This window comes from Homo sapiens, chromosome 6, assembly GCF_000001405.40.
Source record: "Homo sapiens chromosome 6, GRCh38.p14 Primary Assembly".
Lineage (NCBI taxonomy): Eukaryota > Metazoa > Chordata > Mammalia > Primates > Hominidae > Homo > Homo sapiens.
In genome coordinates, this window is record NC_000006.12 from 75,876,270 (window position 1) to 75,903,879 (window position 27,610).

At 37.0% G+C, this 27,610-nt stretch overlaps 1 protein-coding gene across 14 annotated transcripts in view; it reads left to right on the forward strand.

The window, feature by feature from the left end:
* MYO6 (myosin VI) overlaps positions 1 to 27,610 on the forward strand; it is a 170,299-nt gene that overhangs the window by 127,031 nt on the left and 15,658 nt on the right. For 5 of the 14 annotated variants that reach the window (NR_160538.1, NM_001300899.2, NM_001368136.1 and 2 more), the window contains 8 exons: positions 3,551 to 3,681; positions 3,774 to 3,851; positions 5,420 to 5,549; positions 9,735 to 9,825; positions 10,575 to 10,725; positions 13,788 to 13,996; positions 14,959 to 15,037; positions 16,261 to 16,421. Coding sequence is in view for 13 of the 14 variants with exons in the window: in NM_001300899.2 (NP_001287828.1) it covers positions 3,551 to 3,681; positions 3,774 to 3,851; positions 5,420 to 5,549; positions 9,735 to 9,825; positions 10,575 to 10,725; positions 13,788 to 13,996; positions 14,959 to 15,037; positions 16,261 to 16,421 (1,030 nt within the window). In the remaining variant the exon portion in view is untranslated. Of the gene's footprint in view, positions 1 to 3,550; positions 3,682 to 3,773; positions 3,852 to 5,419; positions 5,550 to 9,734; positions 9,826 to 10,574; positions 10,726 to 13,787; positions 13,997 to 14,958; positions 15,038 to 16,260; positions 16,422 to 18,544; positions 18,572 to 18,961; positions 18,992 to 22,103; positions 22,143 to 27,610 lie in introns of all 14 variants that reach the window. The other 9 variants (NM_001368865.1, NM_001368866.1, XM_024446447.2 and 6 more) reach the window with 4 other exon arrangements.

Below are 27,610 nucleotides of genomic sequence, written 5' to 3' on the forward strand. Positions count from 1 at the left end.
TATTTTATTTTTCCCTCCTTTATTCCATAAGCCCCATGAGGGTGGGAACTGCATCTGTTTTGGCTTACACATACATTCCTATTTCCCTGGCATATACTAGACTCAGTAAATATTTGTTGAATGGAATGAACAGTGTAGAAAATATGAAGATTTATTTGTGACTAATGCTAACAAATACTGGAAAATTAAGTAATTCATGTCTGTTGTATTCTTCCATAAAGTAGAGATGTATTTTTGTAATATTCAAGTCCATTTTTTTCCCCATTGGAATTCCTCTTTATTTCCTAAGTGAACACCTAGTGTCCTGGCAAGTTGCACCTGTTTAGATTTAGCTATATATGCTATCAGATTAGTGGAGAGGGTATAGGCTACTGATGAATGCTTTAGCTAGGATTCCTCTTTCAATAAGCAGTATATTTCAACATCTTAAGACATGTTGGCACTTTAACAGATAATACCAATTCATTATACTTTGATTTTTTTAAGTATCAATAATAGATATCATAATAGTAATAATGATAATGATATAGAATTTGTTCCAGTCATGTAGCTAGGTGATGAGAAAATGCAAAAATCCATAAGTTGTAGAAATAAAAATATTTACGAAGCTTTCTAAAATAAAGATATTTAAGATTTGAATTGTACTTTAACTTTCCATTTTCATTTTAAAGAGAATTAATAAATTTAAGTCACCTTTTACTAAAATTACTATTTTTTTTTTTGAGACGGAGTTTCGCTCTTGTTGCCTAGGCTGGAGTGCAATGGTGCGCTCTTGGCTCACCACCGTAAGCTCCGCCTCCCAGGTTCAAGCAATTCTCCTGCCTCAGCCTCCCAAGTAGCTGGGATTATAGGCATGCACCACCATGCTGGCTAATTTTGTATTTTTAGTAGAGATGGGCTTTCTCCATGTTGAGGCTGGTCTCAAACTCCTGACCTCAGGTGATCCGCCTGCCTCGGCCTCCCAAAGTGCTGGGATTACAGGCATGAGCCACCGCGCCTCGTCTTTTTTTTTTTTGAGACAGAGTCTCACTCTGTCGCCCAGGCTGGAGTGCAGTGGTACAATCTTGGCTGACTGCAACCTCTGCCTTCTGGGTTCAAGTGATTATCCTGCCTCAGCCTCCCCAGTAGGTGGGATTACAGGCGCCCACCACCACACCCGGCTAATTCTTGTATTTTTAGAAGAGACTGAATTTCACCATGTTGGCCAGGCTGGTGTCGAACTCCTGAGCTCAAATGATCTGTTTGCCTCGGCCTCCTGAAGTGCTGGGATTGCAGGCGTGAGCCACCATGCCCGGCCTAAAATTACTATCTTCTGATTGGCAAATACCAGGGCAAAGTAGGGGAAGGTGAAAGAAGGCAAGTTTTCTTCTTCTGTAACCTTGGGGCTGTGCTGCCTGTCTTGTAGCAAAGAGGGGTGCCAGCTCTGCACCGAGAAGCCACTCATCAAACTCCAAGAGTAAAAGCCAGTTCATGGAAATGTTTAGAAGGCAGAGTATTTGCCTTAGTGGTTAAAAAAAAAATTTAAGCTTCAAAACATCTTAAGAGTAAACTAGCTGCAAGTGCTGAGAAAGCAGTTGTAGGCTTGGTAATTTGTTAAGCACCATGAAATTCTTAATGAACTGTGAGCCAGTTTATAGTTTGCAGCTACAGGGCAAGCCAGGAGACTTAGATGCATACATTTCCAAAGGTACTTGTTTATTTGATACAAGTGGGCAAAAACTGTGATGATACTAACCAAACTTTACTTTTCTTTCTCCAAGCAAAGCCTAGAGCTAAATCTAGTTCTGGAGATTTTTTTTCCCCATACGAATGATTTCTTTAATGTGTTTCATTAATTAATATTGAAAATTCACAGTAACAGAAATTAAATAGTACAGAATAATATAAGTAACAAGAAATCTCAGCTCTTAGGGGTGACCACTTAACTCTACGTCTTGGGTATATTTTTTATGCTGGTTAGATTAAGCTCTGCTTTATTCTTTTAAATATGTCATATCCCATCATATGGTTGTAACATAATCAATTGAGATTTTAGTTTTTTTCTGGTTTTTTTTCTATTACCAACAGTGACCCAGAGGACATCTGGACATTGTCCACATGCATATCTTTGCCCACAAGTGTGAAAAATCATAGAATAGATTTACCGAGCCAAAGGGATATTTCCAAATTGCCATCCAAAATTGTTACACTGGCTTACTTTTCTGCTAAGAATGCATCTGTGTGTTTTCCTACACTGTCATCAGCTCTGAGTACTAGTTGTTATCTTATACCTTTGCCAGTCAAATGGGTTAAAATTCAATCTGACTGTCTGTAAAGGCCATCTTTCCTGTGAGATTACTTTAAAATAAAAATTCACTGGTTTAAAAAGTCTTAGAGTTTGTTTTAATTTAAATTTTTGGCTAGCAGGAATTTATTTTGGTGTAAGAAGTGAGACAAGGATCTAGTGTTGTTTTTGTTTTCCAAATGGCTTGCCGTTTGTCATAATACTATTTATTGAATAATCTTACTTTCTCCGTTGATTTGAATAGTCCCAGAGACTGAAATCTAGGTCTTGTAAATAAAAGTCCTGGCATCACTTATAGCTCAGCCTTTCCCTGCCTATCTCACACTTTTTCTGACCTGAAAAGCTCACATTGACTCAAGACTCAGATTAACCACTTACTAGAGTTATACTGAAAATAGATATTTATCCAATAGACTAATCATCCCAGTAGTCTAGTTGCTTTGAGAAGTGAGTGAAAGGCAGTCTTTATAGTGAAACAGTGAGCTCTTCTTTCTTTTCCATTTGCCTTATGCACTGATGATAACTTGGGAATGTATCTACTTTTTGGAGTTTCTTTCAGGAATTTTGTTCTAAAATTCACCTCAGGCCTTTGAAAGTGGTTTAATGCAGGGCTTTGCCTTATATACTGTGTTTGTGACACAGAGTCTTCTAACAGAAAAAAAGATACAAACTAGACTTGATCTTTCCTTAGTTTTGTTTTGTTTTGTTTTGATACAGTGTCTCACTTTGTCACCCAGGCTGGAATACAGTGTCCTGCAAGGCTCACTGCAGCCTCCACCTCCTTTGGCTCAGATGATCCTCCTGTCTCAGCCCCCTGAGTAGCTGAGACTGCAGGCATGCACTAGCATGCCTGGCTGATTTCTCTATTTTTTTTTTTTTTTTTTGTAGAGATGGGGTTTTGCCATGTTGCCCAGGCTGGTCTTGAACTCCTAGGCTCAAGCAGTTTGCCTGGCGTGGCCTCCCAAAGTACTGGGATTATAGGCATGAGCCACTGCACCCAGTTAGACTTGATCTGTCTAGAGACCAATAATTTGCCTCTAGAAAAGAGTCTTATTGGGTTTACAGGAAATTTGACTATAGTAGTTTTAGGTGGTGGATAAGTTGGGACATAATGAGCATAAATATTTTCCTATATAATATTTAGTTGCTGATAATTCTCATAAATTGCCCGTTTCTAAACAGTATCTTACAAAAATGATCATTCACAAATTATTTTGGACTTCCGAACAGTGATTGACAGTGCTTTGTGCTTGTTCGTGAATCTAGGGATGGTGTCTGTTTTGGACTTGATGCAGGGTGGTTACCCATCACGAGCTTCATTTCATGAACTCTACAACATGTACAAAAAGTATATGCCAGATAAACTTGCAAGATTGGATCCAAGACTATTTTGTAAGGTATAAATGCCACCCAAATTGAAATTTCTTAGCTATGAACTTGTCTTTTCTATTAATAATTGACATTTAACTTTTTAACTTTTATTTTTCAGGCTTTGTTTAAAGCTTTGGGCTTAAATGAAAATGACTACAAGTTTGGGTTAACCAAAGTATTTTTTAGACCTGGCAAGGTAAATATACATTTTTTACTTTAAACTGTAACATCATGAAAACAAATAGTTGGGGTTAGTGAATATCTTAAAGTATTTAATAATTTGTATTATTCTTGAATTATATGGTCACTAACAACATGAATTGCTATTTTCCATACCATTTCTCAGAAAAGAAAAAAAAGTTGAGAGGAAGATAATTATATATAATGTTCATAATTTGTTTAGCTTTACTCATACATATTTATTCTAAACTCCCCATTTATTTTAGAGCACAGGTGTCCAGTCTTTTGGCTTCCCTGAGCCACATTGGAAGAAGAACAGTTGTCCTGGGCCACACATAAAATACACCAACACTAATGATAGCTGATGAGCTAAATAAACAAAACAATTGCAATAAAAATCTCATAATGTTTTAAGAAAGTTTATGAGTTTGTGTTGGGCCTCATTCAAAGCTGTCCTGGGCCACATGTGGCCCATGGACTACAGCGTGGACAATCTTGTCTTAGAGCTTTAATAATTATTTGAGAACTAATAGTCTCATAGAGAAAGCACTTTTTCTTGTTTAAACTCCTGAAAAATTAGAAATATTTATTGAAAGCTTAAGACAAAGATTTAAATATCTTTTCTCTCGTTATGTTACCTTTAATTTAATTTTGACTATAAGAAGCCGTTATATTGGTTGATGGGTTTTTGACATTCTTAATATTATAGTGGGTTATTTGGTAAAGGATTGAAATCATTATGGAATTTTGTGGTATATAGTGGAAATAATGTATTTTATTAGTTAAGAACCTACTAGCTGTTTTATTTGTGTTGTCTGTCACTTAGTAGCAAAAATTTCTCATCTCTGTTTAAAATGGAAATGGGGGTTGGGCGCTGTGGCTCACGCCTATAATCCCAGCACTTTGGGAGGCTGAAGCAGTGGGATTGCTTGGTTCCAGGAGTTTGAGACCAGCTTGGGCAACATGGCAAAACCTCATCTCTACAAAAAAATACAAAAATTAGCCGGGTGTGGTGGTGCGTGCCTGTAATCTCAGCTACTTGGGTGGCTGAGGTGGGGAGGATTGCCTGAGCCTGGGAAGTTGAGGCTGCAGTGAACCAAGATTGCGCCACTGCAAAAAAGGTTGGGGGTGGGTAATGGGAGTTAGGAGAGACAGAATAATTTTGGCGGTACCTGGTATTATATAGCTAATATGCACTTATCAAAAGCTCCATAAGGATATCTGAGAATGTGGGTGAGCCAATTCAGAGATACAGTAGTCCTTTTTCATTCTTTTCTTAATAAAGTCTTCTCGCTAGCCATCTGTAATTTAAAAGTCATCCCCCCCCCCCACTTTTGTTATTGAATATGCTACCTAGCATTAAGTAACCTCCTTACCTCCAAAAAAGCTCCTGAAGAAAGAAAGGAAGCAAAACGTGGCCAAGTGTGTTTGTGTTTGTTGTATTCTCTGCCAAGGCCTATGTAATTGACATGTGACCATTTTCAGACAGTTAGATTTTGGATTTGAATTCTGTTTACATCATGTCTTTATGTGTTCAAATGCATTTATATTTTAATACTGATACTAAATTATTTCACTTCCTAGTTTGCAGAATTTGATCAGATCATGAAGTCTGACCCTGACCACTTAGCAGAGTTGGTTAAAAGAGTCAATCACTGGCTCACATGCAGTCGCTGGAAGAAAGTTCAGTGGTGCTCACTCTCAGTCATCAAATGTAGGTGTTTTCCTTTACACCTATAGGATCTTTCATTGTTTCAAGATGGTTTGTGGAGTGTTGTAAAGCTGTCTCAGAGGTGATGCTGAGCAACAGAGACTGAGACTTGTTCACACTGGGTCCCAGGTTCCTATTTGTAGATGTTCTTTCTTTTTTTATTTTTTGAGTGTATGATATTTATTTTCTTTATTCAAATGTGTTATAAGAGTGTCAGTTTCATAGTGTCCTAACAAAACAGAATTCACTATCTTGATCTCTCGTCCCCGCACCCCTCACCATCCCCTAATCTCTCAGACTTAAACCAGAACTTTTCTTTCTGCCTGCATGGCATCTACAATACACATACCCCGAAAATTCTAATTGTAATTGATTTTCCTTTCTTATCCCTGAAATATTGTCAGTCACCAGATCCTGTTGATTCCTTCTCCAAATACTGTACATTCCTTTCTTTTTCTTGCCAGTGCCTTAGTGAAGTCCTTTTCCACCTTTTGCATAATAATTCCATTAGCTCCCAGACTGGTTTTCCTGGTTTCTTAGAGATATCTCTCTAAACTAGAAGCCTTTTATAACTTTCCTTTCATAAAAGGTGAAGTCTAAATTATTTGATGTCTTTCAAGATCATGTAAAATGGTGTGTCAGTTTTTTGTTTCAGTCTCTTCCCCCACCATCCCCTCTTAAATCCTGTTTTTTGAACGGAAGTCTGTCATAATCCTGAAAGACACTGTCTTGAACACCATAATCCCAAATGTTGAAATCTTAAAAGATGAAAGTCCCAAAACTAGGATTCTGTAAAAATAATAAAAAAAGATATTTATTTACATTTTAAAAAGGGGATTTGAGAAACGTATAAAAACATGACAGAACTCTTCATAGGCCACTTTTCACAATAAAATAGGCAATAACATATATATAGGCAATAAACATATATGTTTATTGAAACTATAAACACATATACTAACAATAGTTGCATGGGTATAACAGGAGCAGACAAACCGTATTCATAAAGAATAGGGCGAAAGGTGAAATGCATAAACACATATTATTGTGGTTGGTAATTGTGCACCCAGCTTTGTTACTGCAGTCATCTGAAATACTGTGATGATGAACAAGCTGTCTTTTGATGAGATCAGTCAAAAACCATAGTGAGTCACCACTGCATTTGTAGTTGCCCAGAGAACTGAAATCTTGAGAAATTTTATCTTTTACAAGTGCAGATGTATGATAAAGGACATCTGTTCATTGATTAAGTTTCAGTGTTTTTATATACATACACAATGTTTACCCAGAAAGTAAATGTTGTGGTAATGCATTTTCATGGAGTTAAATTTGCAAAAAATGAATACAGTAAATTAGAACTCTCCAAAAATTTCTACATAATTAAAAAATGCTAACAATTTAAGATAGTGAAAATAAAAACAAAGAAAAAAAAAACACCCAAAACTAAAAAGGAAGTTTGACATAAAAAAAAGTGTATCACAGGGACAGATTATAGGCAGTTGCATGGAGATAGTCCATAGAGCTGGCTGTCTTTCTCAGTCATTAACTATATTTTGAAGTCTTGTACCACGAATAATAGGTGCTTTTTTTCTTTTAGGACATGGTTCTTGGAGAATATGTTCATATTCATTTTCTTCATGAGATTGCTCTTTTTGGAATTCTTCTGTGATTCCTCTGATTGGGATTTTTAGGATTTTTGATGTTAGGGATTTTAATCTAGGAATTTTGATCTTTTGGGATTTCAACATTTGGGATTATGGCTTTTGGGATTAGGAATTCAAACCCCTTTGACATACTGGGCTAAGCTGCTTTTATGTGTGGTTTGGCCAGGTCATAGCAGCTACATAGCTGGCCCAAGACAAAAGTGAGGGACAGAACATTTTGGGGTTACCTAAGGATCTGTGGCAAACCTTTAATTGTTGGGAGCTGTGTAGGAATCAGTAACTTGATTACATTTACAGTTGCCCCTTATACTCATCAGAGTACCTGAAATAGTGCTAGGTACATGAAAAGGATCCAGCGAATTTTTCCTTATCAGTAGAAAAGGAAAATTCTTTTGGCCTAATGAAAAAGAATCATGCTAACAAAGATTATTTTTGAGGTATTTTGTTAGACAATTGTGAATATAGATAAAAAGAGAACTATTAATATAAAAAGAAAAAAGATAGCAGAATCTTTTCCCCATCATTTTCCAAATAAAATACAGAAACATCTTTATTACTGTAGTTTAATACGTTCAGCTTTACACATTGCATTATGATAGGAAACACATTATAGTAAACTCATCTGTTACACCATTCATTTGTGGACTGTGTTCTACAGTGGTACCGAAGTCAGTAACCGGGCAGGGATCTTTGCAGAATGTTAATAGGAAACTCTGAAAAAAAAGTTCAAGGTCAGATCATCCTAGGAAATTGTGAGTAACTGAAGTTAAGTAGATTTCTTTGCTGTAGGATTCTCAGAGGCTTCACTCAGTATGTTCATTGTGAACCTCCATACAGAAGTATAGTGTACAGCTTTTCATAAACTCATTTGACAGGTAAATCCTTTTTTCAGGACATACCTATTCACATTTCATAGAACAAATGTTGCCTAAGACAGTTTGGGAGGTAGCAGTGTAGCATACTAAGGAAATAATGCATTTAAAATGTAAGCCTAACCAGATACATGATATTGTAACTGCCCAGTGGGTTCTCCTTGCCCACTACCCAGACAGAGCTGATTTATCAAGATAGGAATTGCAGTAGAGAGACAGTAATTAATGTAGAGTCGGCTGTACGGGACACTGGAGTTTTATGATTACTCAAATCAGTCTCTCTGAAAACTCGGAGATCTGAATTTTTAAGGATAATTTGGTAGGTAGGGGCTTGGGTTGGAGATGAAATCATAGGGGGTCAAAATTGAGTTTTTCTTGCTTGCTTCTGTTCCTGTGTGGGAGCACAGAACTGGCTGGGCCGGATTACCTATCTAGGTGGCATCAGCTGGTGCATTGGAAGGTCTGCAAAATATCTGGAGCACTGATTTTAGGTGTTACAACTGTGATGTTATACCTGGGAGCAATTTGAGGAGGTTCAGATTCATGCAGCTGGAGGCTGTGTGGCTCCTAAACCGTAATTTCTAATCTTGGAGCTAATTTGTTAGTCCTACAAAGGCTGACTGGTTCCCCAGGCAAGAAGGGGGTTTATTTTGGGAAAGGGTTATTATCATGTTTGTTTCAAAGTTAAACTTTAATAAACTAAGTTCTTTCCCAAGATTAGTTCGGCCTACACCCAGGAATGAACAAGGACAGCTTAGAGGTTAGAAGCAAGATGGAGTTGGTTAGGTCAGATCTCTTTTACATAATTTCCTTGGTTGTAATTTTTGCAAAGGCAAAATTACATCTTTCAACATCTTTTTATTTTTAAGAAGAATAAGAAATTATAGAAATGTTAAAACTGGCTGGGCGTGGTGGCTCACGCCTGTAATCCTAGCACTTTGGGAGGCTGAGGTGGGAGGATCACTTGAGGTCAGGAATTCAAGACCAGCCTGGCCGACATGGCAAAACCCTGGCTCGAATAAAAATACACAAATTAGCCCAGCATGGTGTGTGCCTGTAGTCCCACCTCACCTACTCAGGAGGCTGAGGCATGAGAATCTCTTTTTTTTTTTTTTGAGATGGAGTCTTGCTGTGTCACCCAGGCCGGAGTGCAGTGGCACGATCTCAGCTCACCGCAAGCTCCGCCTCCCGGGTTCACGCCATTCTCCTGCCTCAGCCTCCCATAGCTGGGATTACAGGCGCCCGCCACCATGCCTGGCTAATTTTTTGTATTTTTAGTAGAGACGGGGTTTCACCGTGTTAGCCAGGATGGTCTCAATCTCCCGACCCTACGATCCGCCCGCCTTGGCCTCCCGAAGTGCTGGGATTACAGGCGTGAGCCACCGCGCCCGGCCGAGAATCTCTTGAACCTGGGAGGTGGAGGTTGCAATGAGCCAAGATCATGCCATTGCACTCCAGCCTGGGTTGAGACTGTCAAAACAAAAACAAACAAAAAAGGTGTTAAAACTTTGTTTTTGATGTCTGATATATAATAATATGGTCGTCAAGATTTCATGTTTCTTGAGCATTACTTTGTGAAAATGAGTTTTTTTAATATATGTTAGATTTAAACTGAATAATTTTCTATCATTTTATTTTACTCTTACACATAGTGAAAAACAAAATAAAATATCGAGCTGAAGCCTGCATTAAAATGCAAAAAACTATTCGAATGTGGCTTTGCAAGAGGAGACACAAACCTCGGTAAGATGAATAGTTCCTAAAAAGAACTCTACAAAACCTAGTTACTGTAATACAAAATGACAATAAAGTCATAATAAAAAGCAGTTTGGATACTCAGGTTTTCTCATGTTCTTTGTAAAATGATGTATTAGTCTTTTATTTGTAATATTTATTTGAAGTTAGTTAATTCATTTATTACCTTATTACTTGCCTCATTCTATAAAAGGATTTGAAGTGGCATACAAAAATGTGTAAAGACTATAAAACAAGAAGTAAGTAGTTGAGAGAAGCTCTTTTATTCTGATTATTTTAGTTATTTGAGTTTCTTGATAATGTCAAGGTGACATTTTTTAAAAAACATCTCACTAATATGTTTACATAATTTTCAAGATTATCTGTAGGAATTACATTGTCCCATTATAAATTAGTGTATTTCTTATTTGAATCTTTCATTTTTAATTTACACTTTTAAAAATTGGAAGTCTGAATATCTCTATTGATCCATCACACCTTTTCAAAGAGACTAGATTAATTTCCTCTGTGATTTGAATTCTCAAAGTTGTAGAAGGCTTTAATCCCATTGACAGGCATCAGTGTCATTCACACTCATATTTGATTTTTTTTAGCCTTCAACAAGAGATCTGAAAAAGAGAATAGTAGATAATATTGAAAACAGAAGTGAAATACCCTGTTTAGCATTTTATAAATGAAAAATCTGCCAAAAGTACTAAAGGATGAAATTAAGCTCTAATGAAGTATTATTTTTACAGCATTGATGGTCTGGTTAAGGTGGGCACACTGAAAAAACGACTTGATAAATTTAATGAGGTAGTCAGTGTGTTGAAAGATGGAAAACCCGAGATGAATAAACAGATCAAGAATCTGGAAATTTCTATTGATACTTTGATGGCCAAAATTAAGGTATGTAATTTCAACCCGAATGACTTTGACTTTTTATGTAATTTAATATATTTTGTTATTGGTATTGAAATTGTATAGAAAACGTCCTTAGTTTTTCAAAATTACAAAATGTGTTGAGACTCAATGATGGCAAGTACATGCTCATCATTATTACCTCTACTCTTTATGTTTGAAAAATTTCATAGCAAAAAGTTAAAGAAGACAATTTTTATGCCATTTCTTCTGTTGCTAAGAAAGATATCCCTCGCAACTTAATACCTAGGTGATGGGATGATCTGTGCATCAAACCCACCATGGCACACGTTTACCTGTGTAACAAACCTGCACATCCTGCACGTGCATCCCTGAAATTAAAATAAAAGTTGGAGGCCATACATGGTGGCTCATGCCTGTAATCCCAGCACTTTGGGATGCTGAGGCGGACGGATCATGAGGTCAGGAGATCGAGACCATCATGGCCAACATGGTGAAACCCTGTCTCTACTAAAAATACAAAACTAGCTGGGTGTGGTGGCGTGCACCTGTAATTCCAGCTGCTTGGGAGGCTGAGGCAGGAGAATCGCTTGAACCTGGGAGGCGGAGATTGCAGTGAGCCAAGATTGTGCCACTGCACTCCAGCCTGGTGACAGAGTGAGACTCCATCTCAAAAAAAAAAAAAAATGAAAAAAGAAAACTAAAGTTGGAGCAAAAAGAAAATGGCCGGGCACGGTGGGTCACGCCTGTAATCCCAGCACTTTGGGAGGCCGAGGCAGGCGGATCACAAGGTCAGGAGATTGAGACCATCCTGGCTAACATGGTGAAACCTTGTCTCTACTAAAAATACAAAAAAAAAAAATTAGCCAGGCGTGATGGGGGGCACCTGTAGCCCCAGCTACTTGGGAGGCTGAGGCAGGAGAATGGAGTGAACCGGGGGGGCGGAGCTTGCAGTGAGCCGAGATCGCGCCACTGCACTCCAGCCTGGGTGACAGAGCAAGACTCCGTCTCAAAAAAAATAAATAAATAAAAATAAAAGTGGTGGGGCATGGTGGCTCCTGCCTGTAATCCCAGCACTTTGGGAGGCCGAGGTGGGCGGATTATTTGAGGTCAGGAGGTTGAGACCAGCCCAGCCAACATAGTGAATCGCCGTCTCTACTGAAAATACCAAAGTTAGCCAGGTGTGATCGCACGCGCCTGTAGTTCCAGCTACTTGAGGCAGGAGAATTGCTTGAACCCAGGAGGCAGAGGTTGCAGTGAGCCAAGATTGTGCCACTGCACTCCTGCCTCAGCGACAGAGTGAGACTACGTCTAAAAATAAATAAATAAATGATAAAAGTAATATAATACTATAAAAAATTTGGAGGCCAGATGTGATGGCTCACACCTGTAATCCCAGCACTTTGGGAGGCCCAGGCGCAGGGATCACCTGAGCTCAGGAGTTAGAGACCAACCTGATCAACATGGCCAAAACCTGTCTCCACCAAAAATACAAAAAATTATTTGGGCATGGTGGTATGAGCCTGAGGTCCCAAGGAAGCTGAGGTTAGAGGATTGCTTGAGCCTAGGAGATGGAGGTTGCAGTGAACAGAGATTGCACCACTGCACTCCAGCCTGGGTGACAGTGAGACCCCTGGCTAAAAAAAAAAAAAAATTGGAGAAACCACCAAAAACCTCTTAATACCTCCACATTAACAAATTCAGTTAGTTACTGTTATTTTTACAGTATAATTTTACTTGTTTTTACTTTACCTTACATTCTCTTTTATGCATACATTTTTACAGTTCTTATCATAATATACATTTCAATTTCTATCTCTACCATTGTTATATACTTGTCCATGTTAATACATTATCTTCATAGATACGATAATGTAATTAATTTTGTGAAAATAGCAATTTCCTCTCCAATTTTGTAGGAAAAAAATGGGATCCCTTATTTTGTTTTGATTTTTATTTATTTGATTACTAGTGGAGTTGAAGACTTTTCTATATGCTTGTTAATTATATTTCATATTTCATTAATTACATTTCATATCTTCTCATTATATTTTAGAGTTTTAATGCTTTTTCTCAGTTTCATAGGTCAGTGCAAGTATGTGGGATATAATGAATATCTTAAAGTGAGCGTTTTATATTTTCTGCAGATATTTTATGTAAACAATGGCAATCTTGGAGGTAGAAAGGAAAAAAAAGATCTGGAGGAAAATGAAAATGCTATAAATAGACTCAGCTGATTTTATAAATCTGTCAAGGGCCATCTTTGTTTATGTGGTATCATTATAAATTAAAATTAACCCACCCACATTTTTTGAAGGCTAATTTTAGAAATCCAATAATTTTGGATATATTTTGTAATTTTTAAAATATTCTCTAGGTACTATTTGAACATTATTCTAAAATAGTAGTAAACTATTGCTAAATTAGCTGATCATTACTTAAGAAATAATTCTTTTTGAGATAAGAGGCTTGCTCTGTTGCCCAGTCTGGAGTGCAGTGGCATGATCTCGGTTCACTGTAACCTCCGCCTCCCGGGTTCAAGCAATTCTCCTGCCTCAGCCTCCCGAGTAGCTGGGACTACAGGTGTGTACCACCATGCCCAGCTAATTTTTGTATTTTATTTTTATAAGAGACAGGGTTTCACTATGTTGGCCAGGCTGGTCTCGAACTCCTGACCTCAGGTGATCTGTCCACCTTGGCCTCCCAAAGGGCTGGGATTATAGGTGTGAGCCACTGCACCCGGCCTAGAAATAATTTTTAACTGCAGTATATTACCTTATCCACAGATTACCTGTCTAATTGATGTGTAATACTTGTGTGCAGAGATAACATAAAACATTTTTTGAATAGTATTTAATGTACAAACAGTATAGTAAAGATAACGGACGTATTGCTTACCATCTTACCTAGTTTTTGCTGTATTTGCATATTGGAGTAGTTTTTTATTTTAAATTGTAAAAAACAATAAAAACATTAAAATTTATCTTAGCCATTTTTCAGTTTATAATTCAGTATTGTTAAGTATATTCACATTGTTGTGCAACAGAAGAAATAAGCTTTTACGTACCTATTTATTTTATTTTTTAAAGTCCACTATGATGACGCAGGAACAAATCCAGAAAGAATATGATGCACTGGTTAAAAGCTCAGAGGAACTCCTCAGTGCATTACAGAAAAAAAAACAGCAGGAAGAGGAAGCAGAAAGGCTGAGGCGTATTCAAGAAGAAATGGAAAAGGAAAGAAAAAGACGTGAAGAAGACGAAAAACGTCGAAGAAAGGAAGAGGAGGAAAGGCGGATGTGAGGCATTTATATTATTTTGAATAAGAGACTTAAAGAAATAGTGAATTCTTGGTATTGACAGTGGTTAATGACAATTATTTGTTTTGTTTTGTTTTTGTGACAGGGTCTTGCTCTGTTGCCCAGGCTGGAGTGCAGTGGCGCGATCTTGGCTTACTGCACTCTGCCTCTCGGGTTCAATCGATTTTCCTGCCTCAGCCTCCTGAGTAGCTGGGATTACAGGTGCGCACCACCACGCCTGGCTAATTTTTGTATTTGTAGTGGAGACGGGGTTTCACTATGTTGGCCAGGCTGGTCTCAAACTCCTGACCACAGGGGATCCACCCGCCTCGGCCTCCCAAAGCGCTTGGATTACAGGCGTGAGCCACCGTGCTCGGTTGACAATTCTTAAAACTGTGTTCTTATTTTAATGAACTAATTTTGTAATAAGTTTGAAAATTGAGAGAATAAGGTCATTTTATAATAGTGATACCATAAAATAATTTTAACTATAATCTGAATTTGTTAGCCTCTTACACCTGAGGATTTTCTTCTTTTTAAAACTATGATTTGTTTATTGTTTTCTAAGCTAGATAAATGACACTTCTACTTTTCTGCAGTTTTAAAACTGATAACATTTTGAAAGATTGCCATGATAGGGTAGAGAGAACAGATGAGTTGTTGACTTGGAGAGGGACTAGAGGGAAGCACCTTTAATCAGGACCTTACAGCCAGGCTTTGTAACCACATTCATCTAGAGATGTTAAAAGTTATAGAATATAATTATATTTGTTTTATTTAAGAATTATTGTCAATAGAGTTAAATTTTATTTTATTCAAAATAAGTTGATGTATGTGGCCAGGAGGTTAATTTGCATTCCCAATCTGTTACCTTTGTTTATTATTAAATAATAGTTAAATTGCCTTCTGAAGGATTCTTTATTTTCTGTTAAATTTTTGAAGAGTTTTCTATTTTTTATTAGGAAACTTGAGATGGAAGCAAAGAGAAAACAAGAAGAAGAAGAGAGAAAGAAAAGGGAAGATGATGAAAAACGCATTCAAGTATGTACTTACTGGGTTGAATTTCTATTAAAATGGAACCTACAGGCTGGGTGTGGTGGCTCATGCCTGTAATCCCAGCTCTTTGGGAGGCCGAGGCGGGCGGATCACGAGGTCAGGAGATCAAGACCATCCTGGCTAACATGGTGAAACCCCATCTCTACTTATACGAAAACAAATTAGCCGGACATGGTGGTGGGCACCTGTAGCCCCAGCTAATTGGGAGGTTGAGGCAGGAGAATGATGTGAACCCAGGAGGCAGAGCTTGCAGTGAGCCAAGATGACACCACTGCACTCCAGCCTGGGCAACAGAGCGAGACTCCATCTCAAAAAAAATAAAAAATAAAAAATAAATAAAATAAAATGGAACCTATGAAAGAAGTGAAAATGAGATCTTGATTTGCTAGATAAGCTGTCACTAGTTTATCCTAGAGACCAAAGGCCAGTTTTTGAAGTGGTTATGGGAATGGACTTTGGAGCTAGGGAAGTGGGTTCAAATCCAAGATCAGTCACTGACAGAAATTGTGACATTGTACACATTATAGTGAGGAACTATGGGTCACAGTTGTCTCTCTGTAGAATGTGGATAAATAATAGTTGCAAGCATTTGACAGTTAATACATGTTAAAGCATTGTGAACACTGTGTAGATCAATAAATATTAATAATTGTTTTTATACCTAGGGGAAAGTCAAATGAAAATTCACTTAAAATGTTAAGTTTTAAAATATCATATAACTTTGTAGATACTGGAATTAATAAATTAGGATTAAGAGTCTCTCTCCACCCCTAGTTTTTAAAAAGTCCCATGTTGAGAATAAATTGCTCATGTATTTGAATTTCTGTTTGTCATGGCTTTCATAATATATCCTAAGCATAACCAAAACTTTAAATTCCTGACATCTGCTCTCTAGGTGTTAGTGTTAATGGGATGCCTAAGATACTCATGTGATGTTTGGGACACTAATATTTGTAGTCATAGAGTTATGGAGCTGTGGTTCTTCTACCTTCTCTTGGTCTTGGGAAAGAGGCAAAATGGGGATGTGTTTGAAGCATTAATCATAATAGAGAAGAAAGTAGAGACTGAAGAGATCTGTGCTTAAGCAATTCTTTAGTAAAGAACTTGTATGGGGGCAGTTATGCTTTCCCTTTATTTTAAGTAATAAGGGGAGTGATCAAGTAAACAAGTGAAGAACTCTTGGTGAAATAGCTTTCTGCCCTTGTCAGGCTGAAGTGGAGGCACAGCTGGCCCGACAGAAGGAGGAGGAATCCCAACAGCAAGCAGTTCTGGAGCAGGAGCGCAGGGACCGGGAGCTGGCCCTGAGGATTGCCCAGAGTGAAGCCGAGCTCATCAGTGATGAGGCCCAGGCCGACCTGGCGCTGCGGAGGTACTGGGGCCCCTGGGTGGGGTATAGCGCTCTCTCCTTTGCTTTCTCTACCTCTCTGCCTCTCATTTCCATGCAGAAGGGAATAGGAGAAAATAATATTCTGAAGGCCCTGATATATTTGAGCTAAAATAATTTTAAAATTATTTGTATCGACTTTCATACTCAAGTGAATGAGATAATTGATTTTTCATCATATTATTAAATTGTTGACAAATAAGACTAAAATTTCACTAATGAGTACTCTATTAAGAAAATATATCAACCTTTACCCTGAAATTGTTTAAGAGTATAGTATATTAGGTAGACACCTAATTTCTAAATACCTGTCATCAAACACTGGCATTGAAATAAGTGACTGTGTTATATAATGCAGTGTAATGTATTTGTAGTTGAGATTTTTCTAATGCAAAAAAATTTAATGTATTAAATATCCTGTCAGTTGAAATGAGAACTCTACTCTGCAATGCCTCAGAATAAATGAGTTTCCCTTTACAAGAAGGGAGGGTTAAATTCATTGAAATATTTTGGCTTCTTGGGTTTCTGAATTATCTCTAAGCACTCCACTATAGTGGAGTGTATAGGAATGTGGAAGCTCTTATTAAAAGTTGCAGAAAGGTTTAATAGATTCAGTTTAAAAAAATTTAGTATGTAGAGGCATTAATTATTTTGATTATTTATAATAACAAAACTAATTTGTAAGGTTCCTTTGTATGTAGGTATATATATGTTGTATATATACTGAGAGGCACATAGACACATGTAACCATGCTTTTCCGAGCTTAAAAGCAGTTTATGACAAAATATAGAGTACAACCACTAGATGGCGATGTTTCCTTGTGAAAGGATCAAACTGCAATGTAATGGAATATTTGGCAAAAAAACAAAAGACGGGGAAGGAAAAGGGCATATTGAGTTGCCTTCATGCTTTTTCTATTAGGTTGGTGCGAAAATAATTGCGGTTTTTGCCATTGGGAAAACTGCAATAACTTTTGCACCCACCAAATAGTATGTGATTGTATTGGGGAGCTCTGGGACTGCTTGTATATGAAAGTACATTATATTGTAAATGAACTGAATATGGCTATATGAACAAAAGATGTTATAATTATTAAGCTCTTGGGTTTGAGTCCAATATTTGGGCTCTTTATTAAGATTTCACTGTAATTAAAATATTTTGGCCCAGATAGGGCTTTTATAAATGCAGACTCAGCTCAGCTGCTGTTCTGTTCCTTCCACCTGTGTTGCATCAGAATGATTGGGAGTCTTTATGTGTAACTGACTAGCCGCCTAGGGCAGGCTCTTAAACGAACCAAACTCTTACAGCTGCTATCCCTGATGTCTGTGAGGAAGTACTGCAGTTGACAGAGTTGATTTTATTATGGCAGAAGTCAATTTCTAAGGGACTTGTTAATGGAGTCATTGTTGGTACTCATCATCAAGCTTTATATTTATGCACTTGAAATGTTAAGCTGTATCCAGTGCCATTCCATATACTGTATACAAGATACTGTCTCATATGTGGACCCCTTCCCATCTTCAGAAAGGTACATGTCTTCCAGGTTGAGAAGAGTGGATCGTTTAGGACCTTTAACATAAACAAGTTACCTGTAATTTAAATTAAGCAGAATTAGCTAGGTAATGGGACCATATTAAGTAATGAGGAGATATTCAAACCCTTATGACCTGAAAGGCAGAAGAGCTAGTTTTAGTTATGTGGTTCAGGCCTAGGGGTGGTATGAAGAATGCCCTTCAAATCCTTTCTGTCAGCTCTCCAGGAAGCTTTCCCTGACCCTCAGGTCCTCATGAGCTCCTTCCCTTCTGGTCGTCGTGGTTATTTTATACTGTGAACTACAAGCATTAGCACTTCATTATGAATGATGTTCTATACAGATATCACATGTTTGATAGTTTAATCTTACTCCATGGGCTATAGCTAAATGTTTTTGAATGTTTATTTTACCTTTGTTAGCACTGAGTTTTTTCTCTAACAAATTTATGAGTAAGAACTAAGTAAACTGTTCTTAATCTATAGCATGATGTTGTTGGGTTCTATGCTGTGTTAAAAAATGTATATATTATAGATAGATTCTGCTTCAATAAGCAATTTTAAGTTACTTTTCCAGCTTGGATTCCTATCCGGTAACTTCTAAGTAAGAATTGTTTTCTATGTATGTCATATGTTCTGAAATATAATTTCAATCAATTACACATATGATTCTTGATGCAAAGAGATGGTTTCAAATTACCTAAAATTGTAAAATAATATCCAGATTCTATTAAAAACAAACCTCACAATATATGAATTTTCTAATCTAGATGTAATGTATTTGCTCTTTAATTTTCACTGCATGCCTTATTTTCCAATCATTTTTAATGAATACTTAAAAATATATTAAAATTCTGAGTGATCTCATGTTGATTACAAATAATTGAGTTTTTAAAATCAATGAGTAAAGTAATTGAAACACAAATTTGCACAATCCAGATTTTCACAGTTCACAATTGGTTACGATATTAACTAAAATATATTCTTTTCACAGAAATGATGGAACAAGACCCAAAATGACACCGTATGTCACTTACCTTTACCTTTTTAAAAATAGGTTGTAGATACTTTTTGGGAGTAGTTTTCTCATTGGAGTAAATTTTAAATTATTTTCTTCTATTGAAAGGTAATGAGATAACCTTTTTCATATTTTTCTTGTCTAGGAAAGTTTAATGCTCTTGTATGGTGCTCAATCACAGTAGCTCATGATTTGGTTTCCTTCTTTGTATTGTCTGTTTAAACTATAATGTAACACCTATTTTGTTTTATGTATATATATGAATTTTTTTTTTTTTTTTGAGACAGAGTTTCGCTTTTGTTGCCCAGGCCAGAGTTCAGTGGTGTCATCTGGGGTCACCATAACCTCTGCCTCTCGGGTTCAAGCGACTCTCCTGCCTCAGCCTCCCAAGTAGCTGGGACTACAGGCACGCACCACCACACTCAGCTAATTTTTGTATTTTTAGTAGAGACGGGGTTTCACCATGTTGGCCAGGATGGTCTCAATCTCTTGACCTCGTGATCCACCCGCCTCGGCCTCCCAAAGTGCTGGGATTACAGGCGTGAGTCACTGTGCCCGGCCTGTTTTATGTATTTTTTTTAAACTGCCCCTTACCTTACTTCTTTATAGAAGCAGGTGTGGAGGCATAAATAATAATAAAATATTTGATTTTCAGTATATATGGTAGTTCATTCTGCTATATCTAAAATAATTCATCATCTGAAATTGTATATGTAGTGCTAACTTTGGTGCTAATGTATCTTTTTCATATGAAAATCTACCCACAAAGAATCCAGGTAACATTTGGAATATACATTTTGTTTATATAAAATATAAAACATATTTTGTATGTATGTTATGTATACTACATATAAGGATTTTGGAATATATATAAAATCTTTATTTTAACAGCTTTAAGGACTCCAACTTAACATTTATGATGAGGATTCTCAACTCTATCAGGCTCCAGTCCCAATAACAATTTTTTAATAAATGATGCAACCTATGTAAACAACTCTCCAAACAATATATGTAAAGGAGAAATACAAGGATAGTCATTTATAATAAAATGTTTATTTAATATGAAAGTGCTTCTGCATAACTGTAGTAGAAGACATGATAAGCGATCAGATGTTTTTGCTTACGTATAGAATCACCACGAATGCTGTATCTACAAATACAAATTGATATAGGAATGTTGTGTTGGGCATTCACATGCCATGAAATTGTGAACAATCCTTTGTGAAGTTCTGAACAGAGCCAAGTACAATATTCTCTCAATTACACAGTATTTGCGTAAGCCCTAGACAAATTCTGTGAATATTAAAGGCATGCAAAAAATACGATGTTTACATGTATAACTTTGTTTACATGTAAAATATGTGTTTGTATGTGTTTTTCACCTCTGTATGTCTCACAGACATGTTAAAGTTAAATGGGGCATGGAGTAGTTCTTCCTTGGGTAGGACATTTGGCATTCCTTTCCCCTTACCTCAGCAGATGCCAGGAGTATACTCACACATTGTTGTTACCACAATACTGCCCCAAATTTTGAAAATATCTCTGAGTGGGCACTCTTGCCCTCCATTGCCACAACTGCTTTATAGTTACCATTTGAGCTTGAATTAAATAAGCCCGCAATCAGTGTCTAAGGTGAAATTATATTTGCATATAGTTTGGTAAAATCAGAAGGAAGAAAGCACCTGGGTGCAGGAACCATTTCTGTCTGGCAAATTTGTTGCAGTGTATTGGTCTAGGTCAGGTGTATCTTGATGCAGGGTCAGGGAGGATAATGCATCAGTAGAGATTGCCATCCATTGTAGTGTCAGAGCATGCAGAAAAACACCTGTGTGATCAACAGACCCAGTGGTAATGAGATTTGAAAGTCCATAGACTCCCTTAAAACCTACCATGGGAAAAGAAATGGAGGAAGCTTTAGGAGAAAAAGATGGTAAAAACAGATGCTCTTGAATCCTGAGACAAAAACCTTGAGGTGGAGTGATAATAGAATTAAACATACTTATCAAAATCTGCTGCATTTAAAAGTGAGACGATTCTGAGAAACTACTAGCTTGAAGAGAGATTGATAAATGTATTGCTCAAAAGATAATTTTTATTAGATTGTATTTGTGTTATATTTTGTTTTTGCTGTCCTTCACTGTCAGCTTTGAAAGATATCTTGTTCTCTGACTGTGCTTTCATAGACCTCCATCCATACATAATTGTAGACAGTGTTCATTACGAGAAAAGAGGAATACAGGAGTGTTCTACTCCTTTAGTCAGGGTCCCAGCTCTTGGCAGGCATTCAGGAAATTGCACCTGGAAGCAAATACACCCATCTTCTTTTCTTATGATTTTACTGATTTGGAAGGGTTTGAGGTTACTAGAGTTTGATGAGTAGAATGAATGAGAAAATAATTACGAAGGAAAAGAGCAAATAGGGAAATAAGTTAAAGAAGTGTTGATGAACACTATGAAACTTCATTCTGTTTTAAAGAATTAAACAAAATTTGATAAAAGTTACACTCTTCTGGGTAACAAAAGCAAAATAAGTTTTTTGCCTTTGGCAAATGTTTATCCCTGGAAAATCAGAATGCCTCAGATCTTTCATTAGTCCATTTTGATATTCTTTTTCTTAAAAGCATGCTTTGATTTGGAATTTTTAGAGCTTTGAATACATCAGATTCTTTTTAAAACTCTGACGCTGTCAAATACATCAGCTTGTGGTTTTCACCATTGTGCCTTATCTAAGTAATATTTACTAAGCAACTCTGGTGCAAAAATCCTCATATGGAATCTATATCTTGCCAAGTTTCCTGTATGGATTTAGACCATGTTATTTGTATTCTATATGGAAAAGAATACCATAAAAGCTTTCCTGAGATTTTATCTAAAAGTTGCTACTGCAAAAATGGAGAGACATTCAAATAACTTGAACTGGATTTAAACAAAAATTTTTCTGTGTGTTACGGCTAGATTTGTTGAATAGTATATTCTAGGCATTAACAAAGTAAAACAGTTATGAACAGTTGTTAAATAATATTGAAAATATATATTTTAATTATACTTTTAGATCTTTTAATTAATTTATGTAGTATGACTTTTATGTAACCATATTGTATTATCGTTTTTCTTGTAGGGAACAAATGGCCAAAGAAATGTCAGAATTTTTGAGTAGGTTAGTGCAGTGTAATTGGGGGAAATAAGTGTTCACCTCAAAATCATATTTTTAAATTACTTTTGATTATTTGGACCAGAACCTGTTACATGAGTAGCCTAGTCTTTCTATGTAAAGTGATATTTCTTTCTGTACAAGAAATATCACTTCTCCCTCACCCCACCCAACAAAGAAAAAGTTAAAAACCAGTATTCCTTCAAAGTCATGGGGATACCATTGGCATTTTGAATGGGACAGTTCCCTTGGCAGTGGAACTCTACTGCTTATCTCTGGCCTCCACCAACTCAGTCTCAGTAGGGGACTTCTTCCCCTCATCATGACAAAATGAGTATTTTGCAACTCTCCCTGGGGTGGTGCTGCCCCTAATTTGGGCACCACTGTGCGTCGTTGAAGAGGAGGTAGAGGAAGAACATGACTCTTGAGGGGCTCTGCACTGTGGCACATGGTTTGAAAACCACTGGTGTAAATTGAGCCACCAGCAGGATCTGGTCCATTACTTTTATAAATGGATATGATTCACTAACATGTTAATTCTTAATTTTGAAGTTACAAAGATAATTAAAAGTGTTAATATATTAACACTTAAAAATCAGTTTGCTACTATTGTATTCTTTACATGATTGTCTTTATAGCAAGTCTGAATAATCAGCAAATTACCCCTTTACTATTTTAGTAACTCCAGAGATGGGGGTGGGGAAACATTTAAATGTGTTGCATTGATGTACTTCTTTGGATGCTATGTTTTTTAGTAGATGTACTTTTGTTTGAGGTAATAGGAATGAAAAGTTAGGGATATTAAAACCATATTTTAAGCAATAATCATTTGAATTTAATGTAATTTTTAAAAGTATCAAAACACATTTTACATATATTCTAATACCTTATATACATTCTGACAATTATAAAACTGTATATTATGTCAATTTACCTCTTCTTTCAAAAGAAAAGATAACAACAAAAACAAAACTTAATAATTTTCAGCTGCCCTCCTAGAAAAGACTCCCAGAACAGCTTAAAAATAAAAGGATTTTTTTTGTTTATTGATTGGTAGTTTAGGGATGTAGAAAAGACAAATAATATTTGAATAAATATAAAAGCATAATTTATTGTTAAGGAAATGAGAGACCTTGCTGATACACAGCTGGCCATTTTTGAGCAAAGCAATTAAGACCAAAAAGCTACATGGAAAATTGCCACTTAGACCGCTTATGAAAAGTATAGATTCTGCAACAAAGCTAAAACAGATTTTAATCATAAAAATACGGGAAGGACTAATGGCCACACATTATTCTTTTTTTTTTTTTTTCTTCTGGAACATTTTTTTAAAAAAATTATTATTATACTTTAAGTTTTAGGGTACATGTGCACAATGTGCAGGTTAGTTACATATGTATACATGTGCCATGCTGGTGCGCTGCACCCACTAACTCGTCATCTAGCATTAGGTATATCTCCCAATGCTATCCCTCCCCCCTCCCCCCACCCTACAACAGTCCCCAGAGTGTGATGTTCCCCTTCCTGTGTCCATGTGTTCTCATTGTTCAGTTCCCACCTATGAGTGAGAATATGTGGTGTTTGGTTTTTTGTTCTTGCGATAGTTTACTGAGAATGATGATTTCCAATGTCATCCATGTCCCTGCAAAGGACATGAACTCATCATTTTTTATGGCTGCATAGTATTCCATGGTGTATATGTGCCACATTTTCTTAATCCAATCTATCATTGTTGGACATTTGGGTTGGTTCCAAGTCTTTGCTATTGTGAATAATGCCACAATAAACATACGTGTGCATGTGTCTTTATAGCAGCATGATTTACAGTCCTTTGAGTATATACCCAGAAATGGGATGGCTGGGTCAAATGGTATTTCTAGTTCTAGATCCCTGAGGAATTGCCACACTGACTTCCACAATGGTTGAACTAGTTTACAGTCCCACCAACAGTGTAAAAGTGTTCCTATTTCTCCACATCGTCTCCAGCACCTGTTATTTCCTGACTTTTTAATGATTGCCATTCTAACTGATGTGAGATGGTATGTCATTGTGGTTTTGATTTGCATTTCTCTGATGGCCAGTGATGGTGAGCATTTTTTCATGTTTTTTTTGGCTGCATAAATGTCTTCTTTTGAGAAGTGTCTGTTCATGTCCTTTGCCCACTTTTTGATGGGGTTGTTTGTTTTCTTGTAAATTTGTTTGAGTTCATTGTAGATTCTGGATATTAGCCCTTTGTCAGATGAGTAGGTTGCGAAAATTTTCTCCCATTTTGTGGGTTGCCTGTTCACTAGGATGGTAGTTTCTTTTGCTGTGCAGAAGCTCTTTAGTTTAATTAGATCCCATTTGTCAATTTTGGCTTTTGTTGCCATTGCTTTTGGTGTTTTAGACATGAAGTCCTTGCCCATGCCTATGTCCTGAATGGTAATGCCTAGGTTTTCTTCTAGGGTTTTTATGGTTTTAGGTCTAACGTTTAAGTCTTTAATCCATCTTGAATTGATTTTTGTATAAGGTGTAAGGAAGGGATCCAGTTTCAGCTTTCTACATATGACTAGCCAGTTTTCCCAGCACCATTTATTAAATAGGGAATCCTTTCCCCATTGCTTGTTTTTCTCAGGTTTGTCAAAGATCAGATAGTTGTAGATATATGGCGTTATTTCTGAGGGCTCTGTTCTGTTGCATTGATCTATATCTCTATTTTGGTACCAGTAGCATGCTGTTATGGTTACTGTAGCCTTGTAGTATAGTTTGAAGTCAGGTAGTGTGATGCCTCCAGCTTTGTTCTTTTGGCTTAGGATTGACTTGGCGATGCGGGCTCTTTTATGGTTCCATATGAACTTTAAAGTAGTTTTTTCCAATTCTGTGAAGAAAGGCATTGGTAGCTTGATGGGGATGGCATTGAATCTGTAAATTACCTTGGGCAATATGGCCATTTTCACGATATTGATTCTTCCTACCCATGGATCTTCCATTTGTTTGTATCCTCTTTTATTTCCTTGAGCAGTGATTTGTAGTTCTCCTTGAAGAGGTCCTTCACATCCCTTGTAAGTTGGATTCCTAGGTATTTTATTCTCTTTGAAGCAATTGTGAATGGGAGTTCACTCGTGATTTGGCTCTCTGTTTGTCTGTTATTGGTGTATAAGAATGCTTGTGATTTTTGTACATTGATTTTGTATCCTGAGACTTTGCTGAAGTTGCTTAGCAGCTTAAGGAGATTTTGGGCTGAGACAATGGGGTTTTCTAGATATACAATCATGTCGTCTGCAAACAGGGACAATTTGACTTCCTCTTTTCCTAATTGAATACCCTTTATTTCCTTCTTCTGCCTAATTGCCCTGGCCAGAACTTCCAACACTATGTTGAATAGGAGTGGTGAGAGAGGGCATCCCTGTCTTGTGCCGGTTTTCACAGGGAATGCTTCCAGTTTTTGCCCATTCAGTATGGTATTGGCTGTGGGTTTGTCATAGATAGCTCTTATTATTTTCAAATACGTCCCATCAATACCTAATTTATTGAGAGTTTTTAGCATGAAGGGTTGTTGAATTTTGTCAAAAGCCTTTTCTGCATCTATTGAGATAATCATGTGGTTTTTGTCTTTGGTTCTGTTTATATGCTGGCTTACATTTATTGATTTGTGTATATTGGACCAGCCTTGCATCCCAGGGATGAAGCCCACTTGATCATGGTGGATAAGCTTTTTGATGTGCTGCTGGATTTGGTTTGCCAGTATTTTATTGAGGATTTTTGCATCAATGTTCTTCAAGGATATTGGTCTAAAATTCTCTTTTTTGGTTGTGTCTCTGCTAGGCTTTGGTATCAGGATAATGCTGGTCTCATAAAATGAGTTAGGGAGGATTCCCTCTTTTTCTATTGATTGGAATAGTTTCAGAAGGAATGGTACCAGTTCCTCCTTGTACCTCTGGTAGAATTCGGCTGTGAATCCATCTGGTCCTGAACTCTTTTTGGTTGGTAAGCTATTGATTATTGCCACAATTTCAGATCCTGTTATTGGTCTATTCAGAGATTCAACTTCTTCCTGGTTTAGTGTTGGGAGAGTGTATGTGTTGAGGAATTTATCCATTTCTTCTAGATTTTCTAGTTTATTTGCGTAGAGTTGTTTGTAGTATTCTCTGATGGTAGTTTGTATTTCTGTGGGATCGGTGGTGACATCCCCTTTATCATTTTTGATTGCGTCTATTTGATTCTTCTCTCTTTTTTTCTTTATTAGTCTTGCTAGCGGTCTATCAATTTTGTTGATCCTTTCAAAAAACCACCTCCTGGATTCATTAATTTTTTGAAGGGTTTTTTGTGTCTCTATTTCCTTCAGTTCTGCTCTGATTTTAGTTATTTCTTGCCTTCTGCTAGCTTTTGAATGTGTTTGCTCTTGCTTTTCTAGTTCTTTTAATTGTGATGTTAGGGTGTCAATTTTGGATCTTTCCTGCTTTCTCTTGTGGGCATTTAGTGCTATAAATTTCCCTCTACACACTGCGTTGAATGCGTCCCAGAGATTCTGGTATGTTGTGTCTTTGTTCTCGTTGGTTTCAAAGAACATCTTTATTTCTGCCTTCATTTTGTTATGTACCCAGTAGTCATTCAGGAGCAGGTTGTTCAGTTTCCATGTAGTTGAGCGGTTTTGAGTGAGATTCTTAATCCTGAATTCTAGTTTCATTGCACTGTGGTCTGAGAGATAGTTTGTTATAATTTCTCTTCCTTTACATTTGCTGAGGAGAGCCTTACTTCCAAGTATGTGGTCAATTTTGGAATAGGTGTGGTGTGGTGCTGAAAAAAATGTATATTCTGTTGATTTGGGGTGGAGAGTTCTGTAGATGTCTATTAGGTCCGCTTGGTGCAGAGCTGAGTTCAATTCCTGGGTATCCTTGTTGACTTTCCGTCTCGTTGATCTGTCTAATGTGGACAGTGGGGTGTTAAAGTCTCCCATTATTAATGTGTGGGAGTCTAAGTCTCTTTGTAGGTCACTCAGGACTTGCTTTATGAATCTGGGTGCTCCTGTATTGGGTGCATATATATTTAGGATAGTTAGCTCTTCTTTTTGAATTGATCCCTTTACCATTATGTAATGGCCTTCTTTGTCTCTTTTGATCTTTGTTGGTTTAAAGTCTGTTTTATCAGAGACTAGGATTGCAACCCCTGCCTTTTTTTTGTTTTCCATTTGCTTCATAGATCTTCCTCCATCCTTTTATTTTGAGCCTATGTGTGTCTCTGCACGTGAGATGGGTTTCCTGAATACAGCACACTGATGGGTCTTGACTCTTTATCCAGTTTGCCAGTCTGTGTCTTTTAATTGGAGCATTTATTCCATTTACATTTAAAGTTAATATTGTTATCTGTGAATTTGATCCTGTCATTATGATGTTAGCTGGTGATTTTGCTAGTTAGTTGATGCAGTTTCTTCCTAGTCTCGATGGTCTTTACATTTTGGCATGATTTTGCAGCGGCTGGTACCGGTTGTTCCTTTC